Source organism: Homo sapiens, chromosome 10 (genome assembly GCF_000001405.40).
Source record: "Homo sapiens chromosome 10, GRCh38.p14 Primary Assembly".
In the NCBI taxonomy this organism is placed as follows: Eukaryota; Metazoa; Chordata; class Mammalia; order Primates; family Hominidae; genus Homo; species Homo sapiens.
Window position 1 is genome coordinate 81,793,177 of NC_000010.11, and position 26,288 is coordinate 81,819,464.

Sequence of the window (26,288 nt, forward strand, 5' to 3'; positions counted from 1 at the left end):
ACTGTGTCTCTCTCCCTCTATCATCAGTGTCATATTGTATGATGTATTGTCTCTATTATTAGGGAATAACTTTTCCCTATATACATGTATATGCCCCTTTCCACTAATTTCAATTATAGAGGCTTTTAATTCAAGACAAGTTTTGCATATTGTTTTATAAAATAAATATATTTACTTTTTAGAAAAGAAAACACATAAGCAAAATAAACAATAAGAAATGTTTTTCATGCCTGGTATCTAAAAACCCATAGCAGGGCTTCTCTGAAACACATAAAAGTTTTGTAGGATGGAATTCTATTACATAGCAACACAAAAAAGCTTGGGATCATCAAGGTCCTGTAACTTCCTCATGAAGATGAGGTCTTCAATTCATTTTTTATGGTTGTTTTCTCCCCTGTGAAATCTAGATTATGATTCAGGCTGCATCATACTCTTGCTCCAATGGAAGAAGAGTTTGTGACGACAGTTCCTATTTAAGCCAACTCTTTTTGTGACAATTTCATGGCTTCTCTCTTCTTCTTCTGACAAATGTGTTTAAAAGCAGCTACAGCTGTTAAAACCCCAATAAGCTGCTCAGTGATTTTGAGCTGAGTGGGCAGCCCTTCCATACTAACTGCCATGTCTTGTCTGTGCTATATTTTCTATTTAGTGGTTATGTCTAAACACTGGCTATTCTCAAAACCATCACAAAATCATGGCTCAAAATGAGGAAAGAGAAAAATCAGTTACCTTGTGCAATGCAATTTTGGTACTAACTACCCAGAGTTAAGCCAGATTTCACAAGTTAAGCAGTCCTCCATATGACTGCCCTCACTTCAGACATCAGCTACAAACTTGGGGACTCCTAGGCCACCCACACTTTTGAACAAATTGCTACAAATTTAGGGGTTCCCACTATCTGCTCTGCTTCAACGATTTGCTTTAATAAACTCAGAAAAGTACTGTGCTTAAAATCACAGTTTTATTATAGCAACAAAGGATACAAATCAGGCCAGCCAAAAAGAGCGATGGAGAGGGAAAGTTATGGGAGGCCCCCCAGTGAAAAGCTTCTATGTTCACTCTCCATGGAACCAGGATGTATCTTCCTCCTGGCACATTCATGTGTATTACCAACCAGGAACCTTGCCTGAGCTTCGCGTCTGAGTTTTTATTGGGAGTTCATGATGTAGACATGATGGATTGAATCACTAGCCTTGAGGTTGAACTCTTATCTCCAGCCCTCCTCCCCTCCATGGAATTTGCGTTAATTTCAAGTGGCACAAAGCCCCAATCCTCTAATCACATGGTTGGTCTTTCTAGCACGGCCAAGTCCCATTGGAATCATCTCCTTAGCATAAACTCACCTGTCATCCAAGTAGCCCACCGTGAATAACAAAGACTTTCCTGTCACTCTGGGAATTCCCAAGGTTTAGAAGCTCCCTGCCAGGAACTGTGGACAAAGACCAGCCAAATGATTTAGTATATGATACCTTGGCATAATGATTGAGTATCTAAAATACACCTCTGTTATTTGACAACGAAAACAAAAAGAAGAGGAAGCAATAGAAGTAGAGAAGTGATGTTCTTTGTAAAGCCAGAGGAGCATATATAAACCACCTATTAATAATGCTCACATAAGACCCACACAATCTAGGGTTTTAACACAAATGCAAATACATAATAGTGAAAGGAAAACCCAACTTTTAAGTTGAGCAATCAGAGTAAGAATACTTAAATTTGAAATCCAGGTCTATCCTAGCTAATTTTACTTTTCAGCAAATCACTTAAACTCTGTGAACGAACTCAATTTCCTCACCTCTAAATCAGTAATAAAATATTTTCCAGGAATGTTATAAAGGATATAATTAATAAATACAAATGAGATTCAGGTTAGGGGTAAATAGCTCACTAGAGGGGAATCTGATTGTATAACACAAATTTTTTATTTCACCAATTGTGAAGATTCAGCTCCCCAATTGAAGTCACAGGACTTTTCTTCCTCCCTAACCCATATCCACCTAATCTCACAACTCTGGCTCTGAAGATGTGTTTAGGAACAGATAGGAGAAATAATACCCAACCAATAACGGACTTTGTAACCTAATAATTGCTGGACGAGTGGCACATATGACTGGTATAAATTTTTTGCAACACTGGTTTACCAAATCTGGTTTCTTTCGTCTAATTGGCCAGAAACCTTGGACATTCTCTCCGGGAGATCCTTGAAATGTAACAAACGACAGAAAGATATTTTTCTATCATATTGATGGCAACAGGGGGATGGTATCTACTCTGAAATTCCATACACAGTTGATGCTTTCTTCTACAATGGGGACAACCTTTAAGCAGCCTATTCTAAACAGCATCACAAATTCCTGCAGGCTGTTAGCTTGAAGACCTTTATTTCGTTTTGCTTTCAGTCCCTCTCAAGTTATGATTGGTAAATGATCTATAGATGGTTAATATGTTTTTCCACAGGTCTAGAGTTCTTGTAGCTAAGGAAATTAAACTCCCTCATCAACCTTAAATGTGAAATTAAAGAAATGTAGGTCCTGAACTGGACGCCAATATTCAAATGTCTTGAAACATGCTGACTTTGTCTTATACATAACTTCCCTTGTTGTTCTCCAGCCTTCCAACTGGGATCATCAAATTATCAGCCAGCAACTAGCAGCCTAATTTCTTATAGGCAGCTTCTTTGTAAGGGATAAGCAAAATGCTTGAGAAGCAGCAGTTTTTGCAATTGTGAGAGGATTTCTCGTATTGTAGAAGGAACTGATATGAAGAAAGATTATGTGATAATATGTGCGATTATGTGATAATATGAAGCACCCCCAGATATGGATTGCTATGTTCCAGGTACTTTATGTACATTATGCAATTGAGGGGTTTTATGTGCCTTGTTTCATTTAGGATTCACATGGTTCCATGAGATTAGTGTTATTGTGGTTCAGGTCGAGAGTATTTAAGTAAATTGCTACAGGCGGTAAAGCCAGAAAGTGGTAGAGCCCGTTTGTATACCATTCATGCCACAGTTCTTAAAGACTATACTATACTGCTTGTGTAGGGAAATACATTTCACAATAAATCACATGGACAAGGCCTAATGCATGTTGTCAAACAACAGAAGTAAGATAAAATCCTGAAACCTACAGGGATGGTTAATCTATCTTAATATATGGGAAGGCTGATTAGTCAGAACTGTTCTTGGATCGGGCTGCCTATGAGTTGGTGAGCTGCCTGTTATTGATGGAGTCCAAGAAGATGGGAGATAAGCACTTTGTGGAGTGTAGTCAGGGGAACATAGCATCCTACGGACCTGAAAAAGATCCTTTCTGTGTTTAGAGAACACTTATTAATCACCAAATGTCCAAGCCCTTTATATCTATTTCCAGTCCTTCAGTTAGTCTAGCCTGATTCTTTCCTACTTATATAATTATTTTCAATTTTCCATTTTCTGTCCAGTGCTCTATAAGGAAATAACTTGATCAACTTAAGTCCCAAAGGAGAGATAACAGAAGCAATATCCTCTACAAGAATTCCTGGAAAAATGGTGTTGTGAAGAGAGTTTATTCCTAGCCTCCTAAATGGCCAGTCCTTGACTATCAGCTCAGTAAAAAACAAATCCTCCTTTGTGTCCTTAGAGATCATAATCATATCAAGTTATAATATTCACATGAATCTGTTTGTCTTCTCCTTTTCTCTACGAGTCCCTGGGAGTTAAAAGAGAGACCCAATAGCTTTAATTAAAAAAAAAAATCCCTAAAATTACTGTTCTCAGTAATATGTTTAAGAGTATTTTACAAATATACACTATATAGAAACCTCCAGAAGCCTAGATTAAAGAAAATAACACAAAGACAAAATGATTAATATGCAAAAAACAGTAACTTTGATGCAGAAAAGAGATGACAAAAAATATAAAAATATTTTTGTTGTTTAACTTTAGATATTTGACAGAGAATTTCATCATTAGCTAGACCTAGTTAAATTTTAAAAAATCACAGTCAATTGCTTTCAAAATATAAAATTCAAATGACTTCACATCTCAATTATATTTCAATGATGCCTGCGATCACAAGCACACACATCAAGGGCTCCCTACCCAGGTCCTTTCAAGTCATGCAATACACTGACAGCTGTGTAGTCAAGCATCTACTAAAGCTAGTTCTGTTCTTCATGTATCCCTCTTTAGACTTAGCCCTGGGCTCCATTCTTTATTTTCAGTACCCTCTGCCTCTCATTCATGAGAATTGTGTCAAGAGCTAATACTGGTTAAAACTTCTTATCAAAATCCAGACCTTTTTTAGCATTTGGAGGCTCCCAGATTTTAGAGAAATTTCATAGCATACATATTATATATGATTTCACAGCACCAATAGTGCCTTGATTAACAAATTCATAATCAAACATATTAATAATTCTATGGAAAATTATATAAATATTTACTCTGAGAGAGATAAAGACCATTAATACCTGCACATATCTTTGGATCCAGATTCCTACCAAATAAGTCAAAAAATACTTTTGTTTTTTGGAGATTTGTGGATATCTAAATGGCAGATACAGGATGATAGATCAGTAGTGATTCTACAATATGTCAGACACGTACTACATGCTGTACATTCATCTGACTTTGCTTTGTTGTAATACCTAATGTAGTTGCTCAATATGCCAGTTCTGCATATCATAGAGCTCAGAGAGGTGAGGTTTCTCACCTAAGATCACACAGATGGCAATCAACGCCAGGGTGCTATGGTTTAGATATATCCCCCAGAGCTCATGTGTTAAAAACCTAATCCCCAATGCAGCATTATTAGAAAGGGAGGCCACTAAGAGGTGACTAGGTAATGAGGACGGACCCCCTCATGAATGGATTAATGCCATCATTGTTGGACTGAATCAGTTATCATGAGACTGGTGGTTTTATAAAAGGAAGTTCAGCCACCATTCTCTGTCTTGTGTGTTCACTTCCACCTTCCACACTTCCACCATGGCATAACCCTTGCCAGATGCTGGCACGTTTTGGGATTTTCCAGTGTCCAAAATCATGAGCTGAATAAATCTTTTTTTCTGTATAAATTATCCAGTTTATGATATTCTGTTGCAGCAGCAGAAAACAGGCTAATAAGGGTTAATGCCCAAACCTCAGCTTGTATACACTTTACCACTAACACTTAAGCATGTTCTCCCCAGCTTTGATTCCATTTCCTTTCCATGATGCTCCAAATTGTTACATAGGATAATACTGTAACAAAAACCGAGGATGTGTGTGAAGTCCAGAGGATTATTATCTCCAGAGAATGATGCCATGGGGTAGAGGAACGGGAAAGTGGGGAAGTAAGTAGGAAACTCCTATGTGCTGAAGGGAAGGTTATATCACTTACTCTGCAAGTTGTATGGGGAGAGGCACCCCCCACCAATACAAAATCTGACTTTCTATAGTAAGTTGGTATATAAAAAGGTAGAGACAAAAATAAAGCCCATTTCATAGATGACTCTGACATAGAGCTTGGGAATCTCTTGGTCAGTTGTGCTAAGTCCCAGTCCATGTTCTTAGACCTGTTGTCCAGCTTGAATTTATACTTCACAGCCTTTGTACTAATCCCAGGCAATGCAAATACGGTAATCAGAAAGTGCAATGGAAATGATAATTTAAAAAGAGGTGTATTAAATTTAAAAAATAAGTTTATGTACAGCTTAAAATTGAGCAAGGCATTTTCTTTCTACATATACACTTAAATTCACTCTAATAGCAAATATTTTGTCTAAGAACACTTTTAACCAAAGGCCAAGGTCATTTATTTGTGACAAATATCCCCAACAAGGAGAGAACTAGAGGGCCCCAATGAATTCAGGCCAGAGACAAGGAAAGCATCACAGATTGAGTCCAATTATGGGGACAGATAATTCCAAGAACTAAGGGAGGCACGGAGGCCTAAGGCCTTATTGGCTGACCCTTCCTTGACTTGTCAATCTAATGTGATTTTAATCAGGAGGTCCTAGTTTAGTCATTACAATGGTATCCAGGGTTTGATCCACTTCCTGATCTATGATGTGGGGCTGGCCCGGACTGGTGTCTCATCTCATTTGCCATCTGGTTTGGAGCATCATTCTGGGATGTTCAGGAAAGTACCTGCTAGGCTGAGGCTGCCAGAGACTGGCATAGAATGTAATAAAGTTCTTGCCTGATGCACTTTAGTCAATATTCGAGAAATTCAGTGTCCAGATGTAGAGAATCTGGCTCTGACAGTCTTGGTAAGTAATATTTGTGACATAACCTTAAAAAGGGAAAAGTACAGTTTGAATTCAAACTTCTGCCCTCAAATTACATGTTTAACTCATTTAACATATCCAATTTCCCAATAACATGGACAACAGCATGTAGAAAATGAGGAAAAACTTTCTTATTATAAGTCAAAAAAATTACCTATATGCCACACACTTTGTGACATATAACATAGTGAACATATGCACGAGTTTTAGCCCCACACTGCCTTGAATTTAACACCATCCTCTGACATTTAGTAGCAGTGTGAATGTGGAGGACTATTTGGTATCTCATGCTTCTCATCTGTAAAGTCTAGATAGTTGCGTATCTGTCATCAAAATCTTGGTCACACAGTGCTTTGCATGTAACTATAATTCAATGTATGAAAGCTGGAATTAAAAATATTATTATTATAATTATTAGTATTATTAAAGCCAAAATTAGCGATAGTCAAAGGACACAGAAGAAAAGACTGATCTACTGACTATATGCAAAGGAGAATTTATCAGGCACTATTAAATAAGTAATCGGCCAGAGAAACTGAGCTGACATCCCCAAGTCAAACAACATGATTTGAAGTAAGAAAGGACCGTCAGCCACGTGGTGAGAAGATCATGATCTTACAGAAGTCTGAATCAATTGCACTACCTTCTGGGCTTCCCAAGGCAGCTAACACATGTACTGAGCTATGAAGCCACATATGACAAGGGCCGCATAATGAGGCCTCTCATGCCAGTAGACAAGTGGGTGTGTCATCAGTTTACTGCAGGGGAAACAACAAATTTTTCATATGTGAAATTCTGTGACAAAGACCTGGAGCTTTTTGAGGAGGCTTTTCCAGGAACTAACTTCTCTATACTTTCCCAAAACAACTGGGTTTCTAATTTAGCCAAGTACAATTTAGATGAGTCTAAACATTGTCCATCTTCCTCCATCAGGGTTTAAACACAATATAAAAAAACTCATCTCAAGTCTCACTACTGTACTATATTTGTGAATTTGTGTAAATAGTGTTAAAATCACCAGATTTAAGCAAAGATTCAGGAAAGCAAGATGATTAACATATGTCAGAATAAATCAGCTCAGTTTAAAAAAAAACTATCTTTTTAACCAGAAAAAAAAAATGAGATATTTACAACCTTAAAAAGATTTGGAGTATTTTATCTACTAAAAGGAACAAACTGAGGTCAGAAATGATCATTTTGAAATTAAAAATAGTTTCTATATAAAAAAATATCATTGAGTGCTTATAGGCAAATGTATGTCTACCTCACCCCTCAAATTCATATTTTAAACCTCAATGCCCAATGTAATGGTATGGGCAGATAGGGCCTTTAGGAAGTGATTAAGGTACTAGTGCCCTTATAAAAGAGCCAGGCGTGGTGGCTCACGCATGTAATCCCAGCACTTTGGGAGGCAGAGGCGGGCGGATCACGAGGTCAGGAGATTGAGACCATCCTGGCTAACACGGTGAAACCCTGTCTCTACTAAAAATACAAAAAATTAGCCAGACGCAGTGGCAGGCGCCTGTAGTTCCAGCTACTCGGGAGGCTGAGGCAGGAGAATGGCGTGAACCCGGGAAGCGGAGCTTGCAGTGAGCAGAGATCTGTAGTTCCAGCTACTCGGGAGGCTGAGGCAGGAGAATGGCGTGAACCCGGGAAGCGGAGCTTGCAGTGAGCGGAGATCGCACCACTACACTCCAGCCTGGGCGACAGAGTGAGACTCTGTCTCAAAAAAAAAAAAAAAAAGAGATACCCAGAGAGGCTCTTTGCTTCTTCTGCCATGTGAAGACACGGCAAAAAGGCTGTCTATAAACCAGGAAGCAAGACCTCATCAGACACTGATTCTGTCAGCACTTTGATCTAGGACTTCCTAGCCTCTAGAACTGTAAGAAATAAATTTCTGTTGTTTATAAGCCTCTCAATTTATTGTACTTTTGTTATTGCAGGCTAAACAAACTAAGAGATTGAGTCAGCCACAAATATGTCATTTATAAATGTTCAGAATATGGCTTAGTCACTACCCTGAGAAAAGAACCAAGTGCTACATTTTTATTAGAACCAAATGCTACATTTCCTGAAATGGATGTTATATTTTTGATACTATTAAGACAGAACTTTCTTCCTTGAAAGGACCACATTGAGGTGAGCAGGCTCTTACACATTTTCCTCTTCAATAGGTCAAAATTTTCTCCTGAAGATGGTATTATAAAGTACAGGAAAGTGGGAGGCCCATTAAATATCTTTGTGTCAGGCACGGTGGCTGACGCCTGTAATCCCAGCACTTTGGGAGGCCAAGGCAGGTGGATCCCTTGAGGTCAGTACTTCGAGACCAGCCTAGCCAACATAGTGAAACCCCATCCCTACCAAAAATACAAAAAAATAGCTGGGCATGGTGGCGGGTGCCTGTAATCCCCAGCTACTCAGGGGGCTGAGGCAGGAGAATCGCTTGAAGCTGGGAGGTAGATTGAATTGAGCCGAGATCACACCACTGCACTCTAGCCTGGGCAACAGAGTGAGACTCTGTCTCAAAAGAAACAAACAAACAAGCAAACATCTTAGGGCCTCAGTTTATCCAGACTGAGGGCCCTTGAAATCAATTAGAATAAATCCTTAGTGAAAGAAATGTGCTTGGTAAATAAACATCTTTAAACATTAAATCCAGCTCGTCTTGGCTGGAGCACACTTGGCTGAATGTTACATGGCAGACGTAAGTGAGGGATCCTCCTTTTTGCACTTGAAGAAAAACTGCAGCCTTGGCAGAAGAAGGCAATGGCATTAGCCATGGCAGAGACAAGAACCAAGATCCAGCCAGGACATACCATATACTTCAGGCCATACTAGCACTGAAATGATTTTGTGAATGTCCCCTTCACACTGTCCTAATGTCAGGTCGGGGTGACCATATAATTTGCTATTCAAACTGGGGCTAGTTTGAAAGTGTAACGAGAAACATGGGGGAACTAGGACTGTCCCAATTATACCGGGACTTCCAAATACCCTAACTTGTAGCAGAGTATTGTAAATGATGAAAGATTTTTGCCTCTGGGGCTGACAGAATTAACCTCTCTCAGCCTGAAAGGAGGAATCCTTTAAGGTTAGCACCCTGGTCTTCAATGCAGATTCCAGGGCTATGGTAGCTCATTCTTCATGAGCAATTTCAACCTAAAAGTAGCGAATTGCAGCCTCAGAAGTGAAACAGTGTGCGAGGTAGAATAACCGGAGAAAGTAAAATGTCCTCGATAATCAGGCCATATGAAGGCTAATGGAGCATTGCTGAGCAGCCTCCATTCTGAGGTCAAACTTGGACCTCCCAGTGGGAAATAGGCAAGGAGTTCCTAAAGAAGTTAGAGAAAAGCAAAAGGCCATATATTCCCCCCTCAAACACCTCTCATGCTGGAAACTGGAAGAAAAACAATACACAAGAAAGGAACTCAAGAAAAATATTTGTGTGTGTGTGTATGTGTGTGTGTACATATGTGTATAGGGACTTGTGTGAGACATGGGTACAAATCTACAATGAAAGACCTAAGAGAATAAAGTGATTCTAGAATTCAGAGGGAGAATTCCACAGTTTTGAAAGAGTGTTTATAAAGAAAAAGAGTAAGTTGGGCTTTGATGGAGGGGTAGCAATTGGGGAATTGTAGGCCATTCCATGTGCTAAACACAACAGAAGCAAGAAGGCCAAAGACTGACTTTGCAGAAGGTTGAATTTCATCTATATACAGAAGAAGCTACAGAGAGGTTTGTAAGGTCACTATGACAGGTGCTGTCATTTTTGGCTGGTACATCAGTCAAACAGACCCTTCCAGACTTCTGTGGCTCCATAACCTGTGTGTCGACACAGTGAGAAAGTATCATCTAAAGGTCTCACCTATAACATTTTTTTTTTTTTGAGACAGAGTCTGGCTCTGTCACCCAGGCTGGAGTGCAGTGGCCCAATCTCGGCTTACTGCAAGCTCTGCCTCCTGGGTTCATGCCATTCTCCTGCCTCACCTCCTGAGTAGCTGGGACTACATGTGCCCACCACCACACCCAGCTAATTTTTTGTATTTTTAGTAGAGACGAGGTTTCACCGTGTTAGCCAGGATGGTCTTGATCTCCTGACCTTGTTATCCGCCTGCCTCGGCCTCTCAAAGTGCTGGGATTACAGGCATGAGCCACCACGCCCAGCCGTAACATTGTTTAATACAAAGTGGTAGACTGCTTACTTTCTGTTAAAGGGATTGGCTGGTAGTGTGAACAATCACTCTCATTATTAATAGAATATATTACCAAAATAGAAGGCCTCAAGACACACCAGAAATAGTAAAAGTACTTGGGATATAGTTTAACCAAATAAAGATTCATGTTCTTAGGCAGAGAAATTACATTTCAAGACATTTTTTGACAAGAGAAAAGGACCCCTGAGGTTGCAGAATTGAGCCTCCGCTTGTATTATAATGTGTTGTATCATGTCAATAACGATACCAGCCATACCTTCCCATCCTGTTTATTCTTCTCAGCATGGGCAGAGTTTGAGGGGTCCCAGGACCTAAGTCCAGCCAATCAGAACCTCTCTCAGGACTTTTATTTCAAAACTACCAAGGAATAGTTTTTGTCCCTCATTAGAGGTTCATAGTACTATAAGCTTATAAATTTAAGTCTGCCATGAGACACCCACCCCAATTCCATGGAGGAAGCTTCTTTGTAGTAGGAAAAAGTGAGTTCAACATGAAAAGATAAGCAGAGATGAAAGATGGGTGGAGAGAAGAAAATAACCCTTTGTTTTTCCCCTTGAGATCCCATTTCCTGCCTTTTTGTCCTTAATTCTCTGAGCTATTCCAGTTGCTTTCCAAATTATGTGGGCCAATGCATCTCTTTTGTTCTTAACCTAACTTAATTTGGGTTTCAACCACTTACACATAAGTGCCTTGAAAAATACAAAAATTTATTTCATGAGACTCTGGATTTGGAGAACGTGCAGACTCTGGGATGATCATTGAAAGGACGTAGAAGATCTTCTAGGTCATCTGCAGGAACTTCTAGCTGGACAATTATAAAATAAAGAAGAGGATATGGACTGCCAGCTGCAGAATTATGAAACTGTGGCTCCTTGCTGTTTCATATTTGCCATGGGGAACTGCAGAGCAGCTGGTAAGTGGAAGAAACCAGACAGAAATCCAGAGTCCAATATACTCCAGCACTACCAATTTCATCCCTGCTGCTGCTTCAGCTGCTCCTATCTCCAAAGAAAATTAAGGACCACACTGAAAATCTGCCTTTCTCTATTCTTCCTCTGTTCTAGGATGCAAAGGACTCCATATTTACAGAGATCTTAGCACAAATTGTTAATGGTTTTATTGGTGGAATAGTCAGAGAAGTGGATAAGGCTTCTCCTCTATAGTCTAGCTAGACCTTTTACCTACATAAATGTTGATCTTCTCAGCAAGAATTAGCCTTTGATACTGTCTACAGGCTCTACAAAAGCTTCCTTTGCACTCTACTTTTCTTACCTAAAACAAAAGTTTATTTTTGATCTGCAGCCACAGTTATAGAAAGAAACAAGGAAGACCCTTTGTGACAGACTCCATAATCTCTCAATACCTCAAGTGCTTCTGAAATGGTAGTCTCCACTTGCATTGTAGAACTTCAAACCGAGCTGGACTCATCTGGACTTTTTCTGGCCTCTTCACCAAGCCTTATCTAAGGCTATATTTACTGAAAATGATGCCCCTTTGTATTACTGTGGAACTCTGGATGGTGGGATGAAGAAACTGATAGAATAAAGGTAATCAGCTGTTTTATCAAACAAGATTTGAGCAAGTAGACCTAATGACAGACAGTGGCTGCAGTGATATCCACAGTTCTGAAAGCATTATCATTGAGCTGTGTGTGGGAGAAATGTGTAGATAATGCTGAACTTTGATTCTTAGCTTCACTTGGCTGGAAGTCATTGGTCCTGCCATCTCCTAAAGAACTTGTTTTGTTTTGTTTTGTTTTGTTTTGTTTTTGTTTTTGTTTTTGTTTTGAGACAGGGTCTCACTCTGTTACCCAGGTTGGAGGGCAGCAGCATGATCTCGGCTCACTGCAATCTCCACTTCCCAGGCTCAAGCAATTCTCCAGCCTCTGCCTCCTGAGTAGCTGGGACTACAAATGCAAGCAAGCCACCAACACCCGGCTAATTTTTGTATTTATTTGTAAAGATGAGGTTTTACCATGTTGCCCAGGCTGGTCTTGAAGTCCTGAGCTCAAAGCAATCCGCCCGCCTCAGCCTCCCAAAGTACTAGGATTACAGGCGTGAGCCACTGCACCCGGCTTGCTTACTTCTGATTTCTGCTACTCTTGTTCCCTAAGTCATTTGTCAAATTCCATCCTTTGGCCTATCCTGCAGCTTGGAATTCTACCCAAAGACATTTGTAATGGATATATGCTTCAGATATGAAACTGACTTTATGTCACTACCACAGCAAGCCCAAATACATAATCTATCTGGTCCAGGCAAAGGATGCCTCCCCTATACCCAAGACAAGCTTAAAACTCTTTATCGAGATATTAAACCTACTTGAAGTAAAGAACTCCATTTTTTTTCTCTGAGGCCAACTGAGCATTTCACATAGATAGAAGATAAGGAAACTTTTTCTTTACATCGTGATCTCCTCTGACAACTCTGTGAGGACCATATACTTAGAAAATTGGACTATTAGGATGACTACAACTCTCTGTAATCAGGAAGGTGTGAGAAATGGCAAATAAAAATTGATCACCTGAAATGGGGGAATGGAGAGATTCATTTTGACATGTGCATTGCCCCAGTTCTCTTGTGGGGCTTGATAAGGCATTTCCCGATGACCCCCTTGATGACCTGAATGACTGCAATGGGGCACTCTCTCTCAGTTCAACAGTCTCCCAAGACATCCTGAAGTAGGATGCATGCTTGAGACTCCAAAGTGGAATTTCTAAACTTTCCTTTTTCTAATCAAATGGTCTATATGGCTCAAGTTCTAGAGAAAAAAAAAAAAAAAAAAAAAAAAAAACACCAACTCTGGACAAAGTTAACTAGTGATTTTCAACTTATTATCAGTGGCTCAGTTTTATGCCTTCAAAGGCCTGATAATGAGATTGAATTTTGTGTCAGGGTCTTAGAGACCATAAGCAGCAGTGAAAACAAAATTTTATCTCTACACCAACCTTGGCTTATCCAAACTCAGGCCAACATCCCCAAAATGAGACTTGAAGCTATAGCACATCCAGAGGGAGCCATCTTATTACAGAAGATCTGTAGTTCTTAAAAAAATATATCAAAGCCTCTTTCAGCTCTGGTTCTACATGTAAGGAGCTTGAGAGTTGCCATTGTATTTTAATAACAAGTAAAAAGCCAAACTGACTAAAAAATCAAACTCTTCTTGGATCTGTAAAAGGAATGAGGACACAGGGCAAACGGCCACTCTCAAGACTGAAGAAACAAACAGGAAAATACAGGAAATCAGAGCTTACCAAAGCAGAGGCCCACAAGTGGAAACCACCACAGGAAGGAAAAGCTGAACTGTAATTCATGAATCTCAGTGCAGACAAACCTGAGAGTTAAAAACCCTAGGGGGATCCAGGCACAGACGGCCCCCCACAATATTGTGAAATATACCACCAAGAGCTTGACAATGTTCTCACAGTAAACATCAGGGAACAGTCGTCTTGTGCTTCCACAGAGGAAGGAGAAAAAGAATCATTTTGAAATATGCCAAAATATTTTTTCTTAACAAGTCCTGTGCTGTCAGGAAAAACTAGTTAACTAGAGCCTATCCTACTGGGGTAGTATCAAAGCCTAACAGACCAGGGGACAGAAATATCAAATTCCGGTAACTTTTAGACTTCCATGTGTGAGAAAGGAGCTACTCAACTCCAGCCCACTCTAGTCATTCTGTCCCACCTAAAGAAGTAGAAAAAAAAAAAAAAAAGCTGAGAAACACTTCTGAAGTTCACAGTCCAGAGACACAGGCTTACTAAAACACTAAGACCTAATCCTAGAACTAGAGAATGCTTCCCTTCCCCCCACACCCTACCACCACATTACTAAAGGCCTATTTAGGGCAATTCCTTTTACCTGTTAGGTTACATCCAACTATCAGGAAAAAAAATACAAGGAATACCAAAAGACAAAGAACACAATTTAAAGAGACATAGGAAGCATCAGATCCAGACATGACAGGGGTATTGGAATTATTATACTGGATATTTAAAACAATTATGATCAGTATACTAAAGGCACTAAGGGATAAAGCAGACAGCATGCAAGAACAGATTAGCAATGTAAACAGAGAGATGGACATCCTGAGAAAGAACTGAAAAGAAATGCTAGAGATAAAAAACACTGTGACAGAAATAGAGAATGCCTTTGATGGGCTCATTAACAGACTGAACACAGCTGAGGAAGGAATCTCTGATCTTGAGGATATTTCAATAAAAACCTCAAAAACTGAAAAGCAAAGAGAACAAAGACAGAGAGAAACAGAACAGAATATCCAAGGACTGAGCAGCAACTACAAAAGGTGAGACTTATATTTAATGGGAATACCAGAAGAAGAAGAAAAAGAGAAAGAAACAAGAAATATTTGAAATGTAGAATTCCGTACCCTGCAAAATTATCCTTCACAAGTGAAAGAGCAATAAAGACTTCCTCAGACAAACAAAAATTGAGGAAATTATTGACAGTAGATCTGCTTTGTAAGAAATGTTAAAATAAGTTCTTTAGAGGTAAGGAAAATAATATAGGCCAGAAACTGAGATATACAGAAAGGAAAGAAGAACTTCAAGAATGGACTAAGTGATGATAAAATGAAACTTTTTCTTAATTGACCAAAGAGATAACATTTTTTTCAAAATAATAGCAACAATGTATTTGATTATGTATGCTTATGTGCATAGCACATATACATATAACAGATATGTGTTATATGCATGTTAATGCATATATATACGTATGTGTATATATATGTGTGTATATATATGCTTTTCATGCTTCATATAAGTGAGATGAATAAGAGCAATGAAAGAAAAGATGGGAGGGAAGAATTAGGTTTTTAAAATTATTATTATTATAGTCTCGCACTACCTGTGAAATGGCATAGTGTTATTTGAAAATACATTTGGATTCATTGAAAATATATATTGTAAACTTTAGGGCAACCACTAGAAAAAGAAAAAAAGCAATATAACTGATATGCTAACAAAGGAGAAGAAATGGAAACACATAGAATGCCAACTAAAACTACAAAAGGCGGAAAAGGATCAGAAGACAAAAAAAGGAACAAAGAACAAGGACAACAAATAGAAAACAGTACCAAGGATGGCAGACATTAATTCAACTATATCAATAATCACTTTGAATGTCAATGGTCTAAATGCACTATTTAACAGACAGAGTTTGTCAGAATGAATTAACAAATAAGGCCCACTTATGTTATCTACAAGAAACCCTGTTTATATAAAATTACATATAGATTAAAAGTAAATGGAAAAAATACATACCATGTTAACATTAATGAAAAGAAAGCTGGAATATCTATATTTCAGACAGAGGAGACTTCAAAGTATGAAAAGTTATCAAAGATAAAGAAAGGCATTACATAATGATAAAGGGGTCAGCATTCCAGGAAGACATAATAATTCTTAATATGTATGCACCTAACAACAGAGCATTAAACTTCATAAAGAAAAAAATCATAAAACTGTAAGAAGAAATAGATCAATCAACTATCACAGAGACTTTAAGACCCTTTCATCAGAAACAGACAGATACAGGAAGCAGAAGTTCAGAAAGAGCATAGTTGAACTCAACAGCATCATCAACCAACTAGATATAATCAAATTCTATAGAATACTTTATCAAATAACAGCAGGAAACACATTCTTCTCAAACTTATATGGAACATTTACCAAAATAAGACCACATTCAGGGCCATAAAACACATCTTGACAAATATAAAAAAGATAGAAATAATACAATGTCTGTTCTCAGATTACAGTGTAGTTAGACTAAAAATATCAGTAACAGAAAGATAACTGAAATATCCCAAAATACGTGGTAATTAGACAATATACTTCTAAATAACATGTGGGTCAAAAAATAAATCTCAAATATTTAAAAATTTTGAACTAAGTGAAAATGGGTATACAGCTTACCAAAATTTGTAGAATGCAGCAAGACCCATGCTTAGAAGAAAATTTATAGTATTAAATGCATATATTAGAAAAGAAGAAAAATCCAAAATCAACAATCCAGGGTTCCCCCTTAGGAAACTAAAATAATAAGAACAAATTAAACCCAAAATAAGCAGAAGAAAAGGAATAATAAGAATTAGAACAGAAACCAATGAAATTGAAAATAGGAAATCAATAGAGAAAATTAACAAAACCAAAAGCCCATTCTCTGAAATGATAAATAAAATTCATAAATCTCTATCCAGGCTAACTTAAGAGAGAGAGAGATGGAGAGAACACAAGTTACCAATATCAGACATGCAGGAAGGAACATTACTACAGATCCTACAGACATACAGAGCTAATAAAACACTATGAACAATTTTATGCTCACAAATTTTATAATCTAGATGAAATGGACCAATTCCTTGAAAGACAATTTTTAAAAACTCACACAATACTAAATAGACAATCTAAGTAAGCTTATGTCTCTTAAAGGAATTTAATAAATAATTAATAATCTTTATAACAGAAAGAACCATGCCGAAAGTGGCTCAGTGGTGAAGTCTACCAAACATTTATGAAAAATAAATATCAATTTTCTACAATCTCTTTCATAGGAGCAGAGGGAATAATTCCTATCTCATTATATGAATTCAGCATTACCCTACTGCTAAAACTAGACAAAGACATTACAAGAAAACTACAGATTAATAATATCTCTCATACACATAGGTACAAAAATTGTCACCAATATATTAACAAATAGTATTCAATAATATACAAAAATAATTATACACCACAAATTAAAGGTGTTTATCCCGGGTATGCAAGGCTGGTTCAATATTCTAAAATCAATTAATGTAATTATCATATTAATTAAAAAATTACATGATCAGTAGATGCAATATCAGTAGATGCAGGAAAAGCATCAGACAAAATTCAATACCCTTCCATGATTTCTTTAAAAAGTGTGGGGGAGAAGGGGTGAGTCAAATAGGAGTACAGGAGACCCTCCCTAACTTGATAAGGAATATCTACAAAAATCTTACAGCCAACATTGTATTTAATGGCAAGAAATTTGAAGCTTTCTCACTAAGAATGGGACCAAGGCAAGGATGCTTCCTCTTACCACTCATTTTCAGCATTCTACTAGATGTTGTGGCCAATGTAATAAACCAAGAAAAATAAAATGAAAAACACACTGATTGAGAAGGAAAAAATAAAACTGTCTTTTTTAGCAGATAACAGAATCATCTATGTAGAAAACCTAAAAGATACAAGGTTAATATACAAAAGTCAATATTATTATTACTAAAATTACAAAAATTATCCAGGCATGGTGGCGTGCACCTGAAGTCCCAGCTACTTGGGAAGCTGAGGCAGGAGAATCACTTGAATCTGGGAGGTGGTGGCTGTGGTGAGCCAAGATCACACCAATGCACTCCAGCCTGGGCAACAGAGCAAGACTCCATCTCAAATAATAGTAATCTTGATGAATTTTAATGAATTTAAATATCATTTAAATTAGCATCTTCAAAAATGAAAACTTAGGTATAAGATGTACAAGATCTATATGAGTAAACCTACACAACTTCAATAAATAAAATCAAAGAACTAAACAAATGGAGAGATATACTATGTTAATAAGAAGACTCAATAATATCAAGAGGTTAGTTCTTCCCAACTTGATCAATAGATTCAATGAAATCCCAACAAGTTATTTTGTGGATATGGATAAATATTTTAAAATTTGCCTGGGTGCAGTGGCTCATGCCTGTAATCCCAGCACTTTGGGAGGCCAAGGCAGGTGGGTCACAAGGTCAGGAGTTCGAGACCAGCCTGACCAACATGGTGAAACCCCATCTCTACTAAAAATACAAAAATTAGCCAGGCGTGGTGGTGCATGCCTGTAATCCCAGCTACTCAGGAGGCTGAGGCAAGAGAATTGCTTGAATCTGGGAGGCAGAGGTTGCAGTGAGCTGAGATCACGCCATTGCACTCCAGCCTGAGTGATACAGCGAGACTCCATGTCAAAAAAATAAAAATCTAAAATTTATATGAAGAAGCAAAAGATTCAGAATAGCCAAGACAGTATTAAACTATATTAAAGGAGAAGAACAAAGTTAGAAGACTGACACTACTGACTTTAAGATTTACTACAAAGCTGAAGTAATCAAGATAGTGTAGTACTGGCAAATGAATAGACAAATAGATAAATGGAACAGAACAGAAAGCACAGAGATAGGCCCAAATAAATGTAGTCCATTGGTCTTTGACAAGCAAAGGCAATACAAGGGAGAAAAGAGTCTTTTCAACAAATGGCACTAGAAAACTGGATATCCACAAGCAAAAGGATGAATCTAGACACCATCCTTCCAACCCTTCACAAAAAGTAACCATAATGGACTACAGACCTAATTTAAAATTAAAACTGATAAAACTCCTAAAAGATAACAGGAGAAAACCTAGATGACATCGGATATGGAAATAACATTTTAGGTACAACACCAAAGGCATGATCCATGAAAAAAAAATTAATAAGATGAACTTCATTAAAAGTTAAATATTGTTCTCTGTGAAAGATACTATCAAAAAAATGAAAAGACAAACCACAGACTGGGAGAAAATATTATGAAAAGACACATCCAATAAAGGACTATTATACACAATTTACAAAGAAATCTTAAAAACTCAAAAATAAGAAAACGAATACCCTGATTAAAAAAATGGACAAAATAACAGGCACCTCACCAAATAATATGATACACAAATAGCAAATAAGCATATGAAACTATGTTCCACATTATATAGCACCAGGGAAGTGCAAACGAAAACAACAATGAGCTATCACTCTATACCTTCAGAAGGTCAGCATCTGAAACACTGACAACAAATGCTGACATGGATGTGGAGCAACAGGAACTCTCAGTCATTGCTGGTGGAAATGCAAAATGGTACAGCCATTTCAGAAGACAATTTGGTGGTTTTTTACAAAACTAAACATAAACATATTCTTACCATATAATCCAGCAGTCATGCTCATTGATATTTAATCAAAGGAATTGAAAACTTATGTTCATCCTAAAACTTGCACATGGACGTTTAAAGCAACTTTATTTATAATTGCCAAAACAAGCAACTGAGATGTTCTTTAGTAGGTGAATGGATATATAAACTGTGGTACATCCAAACAACAAAACATTATTCAGTGCTTAAAAAAAAGAAACAAACAAGGAAAAAATGTATATATCAAGCTATGAAAAGACCTGGAGGGACCTTAAAAGCATATTACTAAGTAAGATAATCCAATCTGAAAAGGCTATGAACTATATGATTCCAACAATAAGACATTCTGGAAAAGGCCAAACTATGGAGACAGTAAAAAGATCAAGCTGGGTGTGGTGGCTTATGGCTGTAAGACAAGGACTTTGGAGGCTGAGGCAAGAGAATCACTGGAACTGAGGAGTTGAGCCCAGCCTGGCCAACATAGCAAGACCTTGTCTGTACTATAAAAAAACAACAACAAAAATTAGCAGAGTGTGGTGGCACATGCCTGTAGTCCCAGCTATTTGGGAGGCTGAGGCAGCAGGATCGCTTGAGCCCAGGAGGTACAGGCTGCAGTGAGCTATGATCATGCCACTGCACTCCAGCCTGAGTAACAGAGCCAAACCTTGTCTCAACTTAAAAAAAGAAAAGAAAAGAAAAGAAAAAGTCAGTGGTTGCCAGCGGTTGGATGAAGGGAAAGATGAATAGGTGGAACACAGAGGATTATTAAGGCAGTGAAAATACTGTGTATGATACTTGAATGATGGATACATATCATTATATATTTACTCAAACCCGTAGAATGAACACCACCAACAGTGAGTAAAGTATGGACTCTGGGTGATTATAATATGTCAATGTAGGTTCATCAATAGTAACAAACGTACCACCCTAGTGGGTGATGTTGATAATTAAGGAGACTGTGGATAAGTCAGGGCAGGAGATATATGGGAAATCTCTCTAGCATTCTCTTATTTTTAATTTTGATTTTGCTGTGAACCTAAAATTTCTCTAAAAATTAGTCTTTAAATTGTTAAATTACATATATATTTTATACAAGTTATATAATATATATTATATTTTTAATATATTATATTTTTATATATTATATACATATAAGTGCACACACACACACATAAAGCAAAGGCTCTACAAATAGCTAAAACAATCTTGAAAATGAATAAAGTGGAATAATGCACTCTACCTAATTGTAATTTAGCTACAGTAAACAAGGTGGAGTGCTATTGGTGAAAGAGTAGACATATAGATCAATGGAACCAAATAGAAAACTCAGAATTAGACCCCTGTAAATATTACCACCTTATTTTTATAAAAATGAAAAAATCAGCAGAGGAAAGGTGGCCTTTATAACAAACAATGCTGGAGTAATTGGGCAATGATGACCAAAAAACAACAAAGAAACACCTTAACCAAAACCTCACACATTATTCAAAATTTTTCTCAAAATGGATCATTAACTTATATGTAAAATATTTTAAAATGTAAAACTATAAATCTCTTAGAGAAAAGCACAGAGGAAATTCTTCAGAATATATGGCACAGCAAAGAGTTTCCAGTTTTGACACACAAGAAAAGATCATTAAAAATAAAAATTTATAAATTAGATCTCATTAAAAACTTCTGTTATGCAAAATATCCTGCTGAAAGGAATGAAAAATAAGCTATTGACTGGGAAAAAAGATATTTGCAAGCCACTAGTAAAAGATGTCTAGTATTAAGAAGATACATAAAACTCTCAAAAGTCAACAATAGAAAACAAACAGTCCAATTAGAATGTAAGCAAAATACACTCAGACATTTCAACAAAAAGTATATAGAGATAGCAATAATTAAATGGAAAGATATTTAAGATAATTAACCATCAGAGAAATGCGCATCACAACCATGATGAAGTATCACTGCACACGTATCAAAATGGCTAAAATAAAAAATAATGATCCCAGGAAATGCTGGCAAAGCTTCAAAGAAACTGGATCACTTACACATTGCTGATTAGAATGGAAAATAGTTCACTGTCTCTTACTGTGCTAAACATGCAACTACCTACAACTCAGCAATTGTACTCCTGAAGACGTGAAGGTATATGTTTATGCATTGCTGGTGGAATTGCAAAACCTTTAAGACACTCTAAAAAAGTTTGGTCATTTCTTTAAAAAGTAAACAAGCAATGACTATGTGACCCAGCAATTGACCTCTTGGTCATTTATGCTAGGGAGATGAAAACTTATGTTTACATAAAAACTTATGCATGAATATTCATAACAGCTTTATTTGTATTAGCCCAAACTGGAAACCACCTAACTATACTTCAATGGGTGAATGGTTAAGCCAATTCTAGCACATCCACCGCATGGACTACTCATCAGCAATAGAAGAAAGCACCCTGCAGAGTTCACGTAACTTGAGTGAATCCCCAGAGAGTTAGGCAATGGAAAGAAAGTAAATTCCAAAAGTTATAGATTATATGAGTCTATTTATATAAAAATGTTAAAATAGTAACATTTTAGAAATAGAGAAAAGATTGTAGCTTGTCAGGAATTAGGGAAGGGAGTGGAGAAGGTGGGAGAGGGAAGGTAGATAATGGCTACAAAAGGGCAACAGATGGGATCCTTGTGGTGATGGAACTATTCTGTATCTTAACTCTGATGCCGAATACAGCACACCTATCTACATGATGAAATTGTATATGAGTTTAATGACTTTTTTTTCCTACACAACAATCAACACAAGAGCATTCCCAAACCTCTTTTAGACCTGTCAGGTTAGTTTGTTGACAGATATCTAGATGAACTTTCTTTTCCAAATAAGTTATTCTCTGTGAAAGCATTTTGAAACTGTCTGAATTTACAATACCTACCAGGTATGGGAATCTAAGTTATGAAATTAACATAAACATATTTGCACCGTGATGAAAAAACTAAAGCATCTTAGCAGAGGCAAAAGGTAATCCTCTATTCACCAGAAGGACCCCTCCATGACTGATGGAACTGGAAGACCAATGGAAAACATGCCCCAACAATGGCAAACTGCCTGTCAAACATCACAAATGACACAAAAAAATAAATTTCTATAAGAGAGTCATAAGTTACAGCAAATATAGGAATATGAACCCCAAGAACTAAAAAAATTGTCAATTTGTTGTTTCAAAGTACTATAAATGTATTAATATCAACAACTAAAGAAGATAAAACATAAACAGAACAAAAAAAATGATAAAACAACCAGAGGATATTTGAAAGAACCAAATAAAATTACAGAAATGAAAACAATAATCATTTGATGTGGGGAAAAAAGCCCTCAATGGACAGACTAAACAAAAGATAGGCACAGTTGATAAGATAAATAGTTAGAGCATGGATTTGAGGAAAAGTCATGTAGAGAGTAGAGTAGAGAGGTTATTAAACAGAAAAAAATAAAAAAGTTAGGAACATGGAAGACAGAAGAAAAGGCACCAAATTAAGTCAAATAGGTTTTCCAGAAACAAAAAATAACAGGAAATGTGAATATAATATATTTCAAAATATAATGGTAAAAAATTTTCTAGAATTGATAAAAGATAAACTCTTAGATTGAGGGACCACCCAAAATACCAAGAAGGATGGTTTACAAATAGAAAATGTGGTTGATAGCAATTGTTGGTAAGAATGTGAGGAGTCCAGAACCCTTGTGCACTAAGTACATGTATGGCAAATTGGTATAGCCACTCTAGAAGACGGTCTAATATTATAATGTAAAATTAATTCTAGAACCCAGTGCGAGTACAGAAACACTTTTAGAAGTATTCCTGTACTCTCTTTTAGAAGTATGTCTGACTTCTGCTTCTGGAACTACATATCATACCCACCCTCACTCTCAAAAAATATTCTTAAATTGATCCGTAAGGGAACATTCACAAAAGTGCTTTCCATACTTATCTTTGGGTTAGTAGAGACTTGGAGGCAATCCAGGTGTTTGTCTCCAAAAGATAATTTAAATGTAGTGGATGGTAATTCCATTTTTGCCATAGATAGAGCAAAGGAGCCCAGCATGAGGGTTTGACCAAATAGCTTAATCCACCATCAACAAGTAGAAGTTCCGTCACCATTTAACCTTGTCGCTTCCCCATTCTCTGGTCTTATTTCAAACATTCTTATTACATGAATTTTGAATCTTTTTATTTTACACTCCACTTTTCTCAAGCTCTCATATTTTCCAACATTAATGGTTTTTATTTTTTTTTCCATCTGTGCTGTATTCTGGTTAATTGCTCATATGTTAATTCAGTTTATGATTCTCTCTTCATTTGTATCTAATTTGCTGTTTAAATTGTTGATTGGATTTTTTATTCCAATGACTTTATTTTTTATTTCTGGAAATTTGATTAGCTTCTTTTTACAGATATTCCTTTTATAGTGTTTGTATTTTCATGGGATTTTAATTACTGTTAAAATATTTTGGTGATATTAAACTTAATTAGTTTGTGTTCTCTTTTTAATTGTTTTATTTTCACAGTGTTTCAGGCTTTAATATTTCTGTTAATTGAGTCTACTAACACTCCATTTTGGTGCATTGTTTAACTTTTTAAACAATAAAAATCAAAAAAGCTTTTATTGTAAGCTAATCTTTTTTTTTACTGTAAAGATCTTTTCATAGCATAAATTATGAAACTGTCTGGGTAAAGAGATTTTGTGTTCATGACGGTAAGAAATTCTAGGGCTATCACTTACCCAGAATTGGTGCTCATTTTATTTTCTAAATATTTAGAATCCAAGATATCTTTTGGTAAATTGAATCACAATATGAGAGGTTTTCGGACTCATAGAAAATTTTCTTATCCCACATTGCAGGCAGAGAGGAAATGAACAAAATATTTTCTTTTTCTTTTTTTTTGATTTTTGGTTCTCTGTTCAATTTAGGTATAATCCTCATAGGATTAAGGCTTTTCTTTTGGGTAATACAGTTTTAAATTTTCATCCCTGTGAATCAACATTTTCCATTACTGTCTCTATAGACATAAAGCCCCACTCTCTAGACCAGGGCTCTCAACTTGAGTACTGTTGACTTTTGGCGTCACAGAATTCTTTGTTCTAGGTGGTTTTCTTCTGTACTGTAGAATGTTTAGCAGAATTCCTAGCTTCTACCCTCTGCATGCCATTAATACCGTTCATACTATGCCACTCCCATAGTTGTGACAAACAAAAATTTGTCTGCGGATATTGCTTAAGTGTCCCCCTGCTTCAGGGCAAAATTATCTCTTAGCTACTTGAGAGGCTGAGGCAGGAGTATCACTTAAGAACCACTTTGGGCCGGGCCCAGTGGCTCATGCCTGTAATCCCAGCACTTTGGGAGTCCGAGGTTGTTGGATCACCTGAGGTCAGGAGTTTGAGACCAGCCTTGCCAACGTGCTGAAACTCCATCTCTACTAAAAATACAAAAAAAAATTAGCTGGGCATGGTGGCGCTTGCCTGTAATCTCAGCTACTTGAGAGACTGAGGCAGGGGAATCGCTTCAACCCGGGAGGCGGAGGTTGCAATGAGGCGAGATCATGCCATTACACTCCAGCCTGGGCAACAAGAGCAAGATTCCATCAGAAAAAAAACAAAACAAACAAAAAAAAACACCACTGATGTATGTTACTGATCTTTATCTCTTTCAATTGTTCAATCCTCCTGCCTTCCAGCCCCTCCCCACCATGAAAGCAGCACTGCAACAACTCCTCACACAATCATTTCAGTAATTTCCAGTTTATTCTCATTTTTCTGTCCTGGTACCTGAGAAATTTCTTTAGAATCTAGCAATCTCAGCTATATAGTTTTTAAATGTTTGCTTAAATTTGTTGTGCACTTCTATATGTTTCCAGGGAAAGAGTTTTTGAGTTATTTCAGCATAGCACCTATTGCACAAGCAGGAAGAAGTCCTCTGACTCTCCAAAGAGGATTCTCTTCAAAAAACCTGCTCTTTAAAAACCTGATGTAAACTCCTGATAACCCAATCAAATAATACGCCAATGGCAATTTTAAGCTTCAGGAATATCAACAACATCAAACATCAAATATCATCGCAAGCATCATTAAGTTATTGAGATTCGACCACATGTAGAGGATGACTTTTCATCTTTAGTGTAAAGATCTCTCTTCTGAAATGTAGGCTGCGCATATTTCTATTCATTTGTTACCATTCTTACAAAAGCACTACCAGGAATGTCAGAAAGACATTGTCTGAGATGGTTTGTTCCATCACCATGACCCTAATATGTGTAGCCTATTTAAAAAGAGATAAAATGCTAATTTTGATTCTTATAAAGCATTTCTTCAATTATCAAAATATTTCTTCATAAATTCTTAGATAGTAAAAAATTTTATAGTAATGAAGAGACCATTGGCTTTAGAGTTAGAACCCTAGGATCAAATTCTGACTCTCAATTGTGTGACCTGAGACCATTTGCTTAACTTCTGTGAGCTTCAATCCCTTTTTCAGATTACAATAATTACTGCTTTACTGAAAGTTTTACAGATTTAATAAGACAATGTTTATATATTCTTTACTAAAATATAATGAGCTGGGCACAGTGGCTCATACCTTAATCCCAGTGCTTTGGGAAGCCAAGGTGAGAGGATCATGTGAGGTCAGGAATACAAGACCACCCTGGCAACATAATGAAACCCTGTCTCTACAAAAAAACTTTTACATTAAGTGGGAGTGGTGGTGTGCACCTGTAGTCTTGAATACTTGAGAGGCTGAGGCAGGAGTATCACTTAAGCCCAGAAGTATGAGGTTATGATGAGCTGATCATGCCACTGCATTCAAGACTTGAT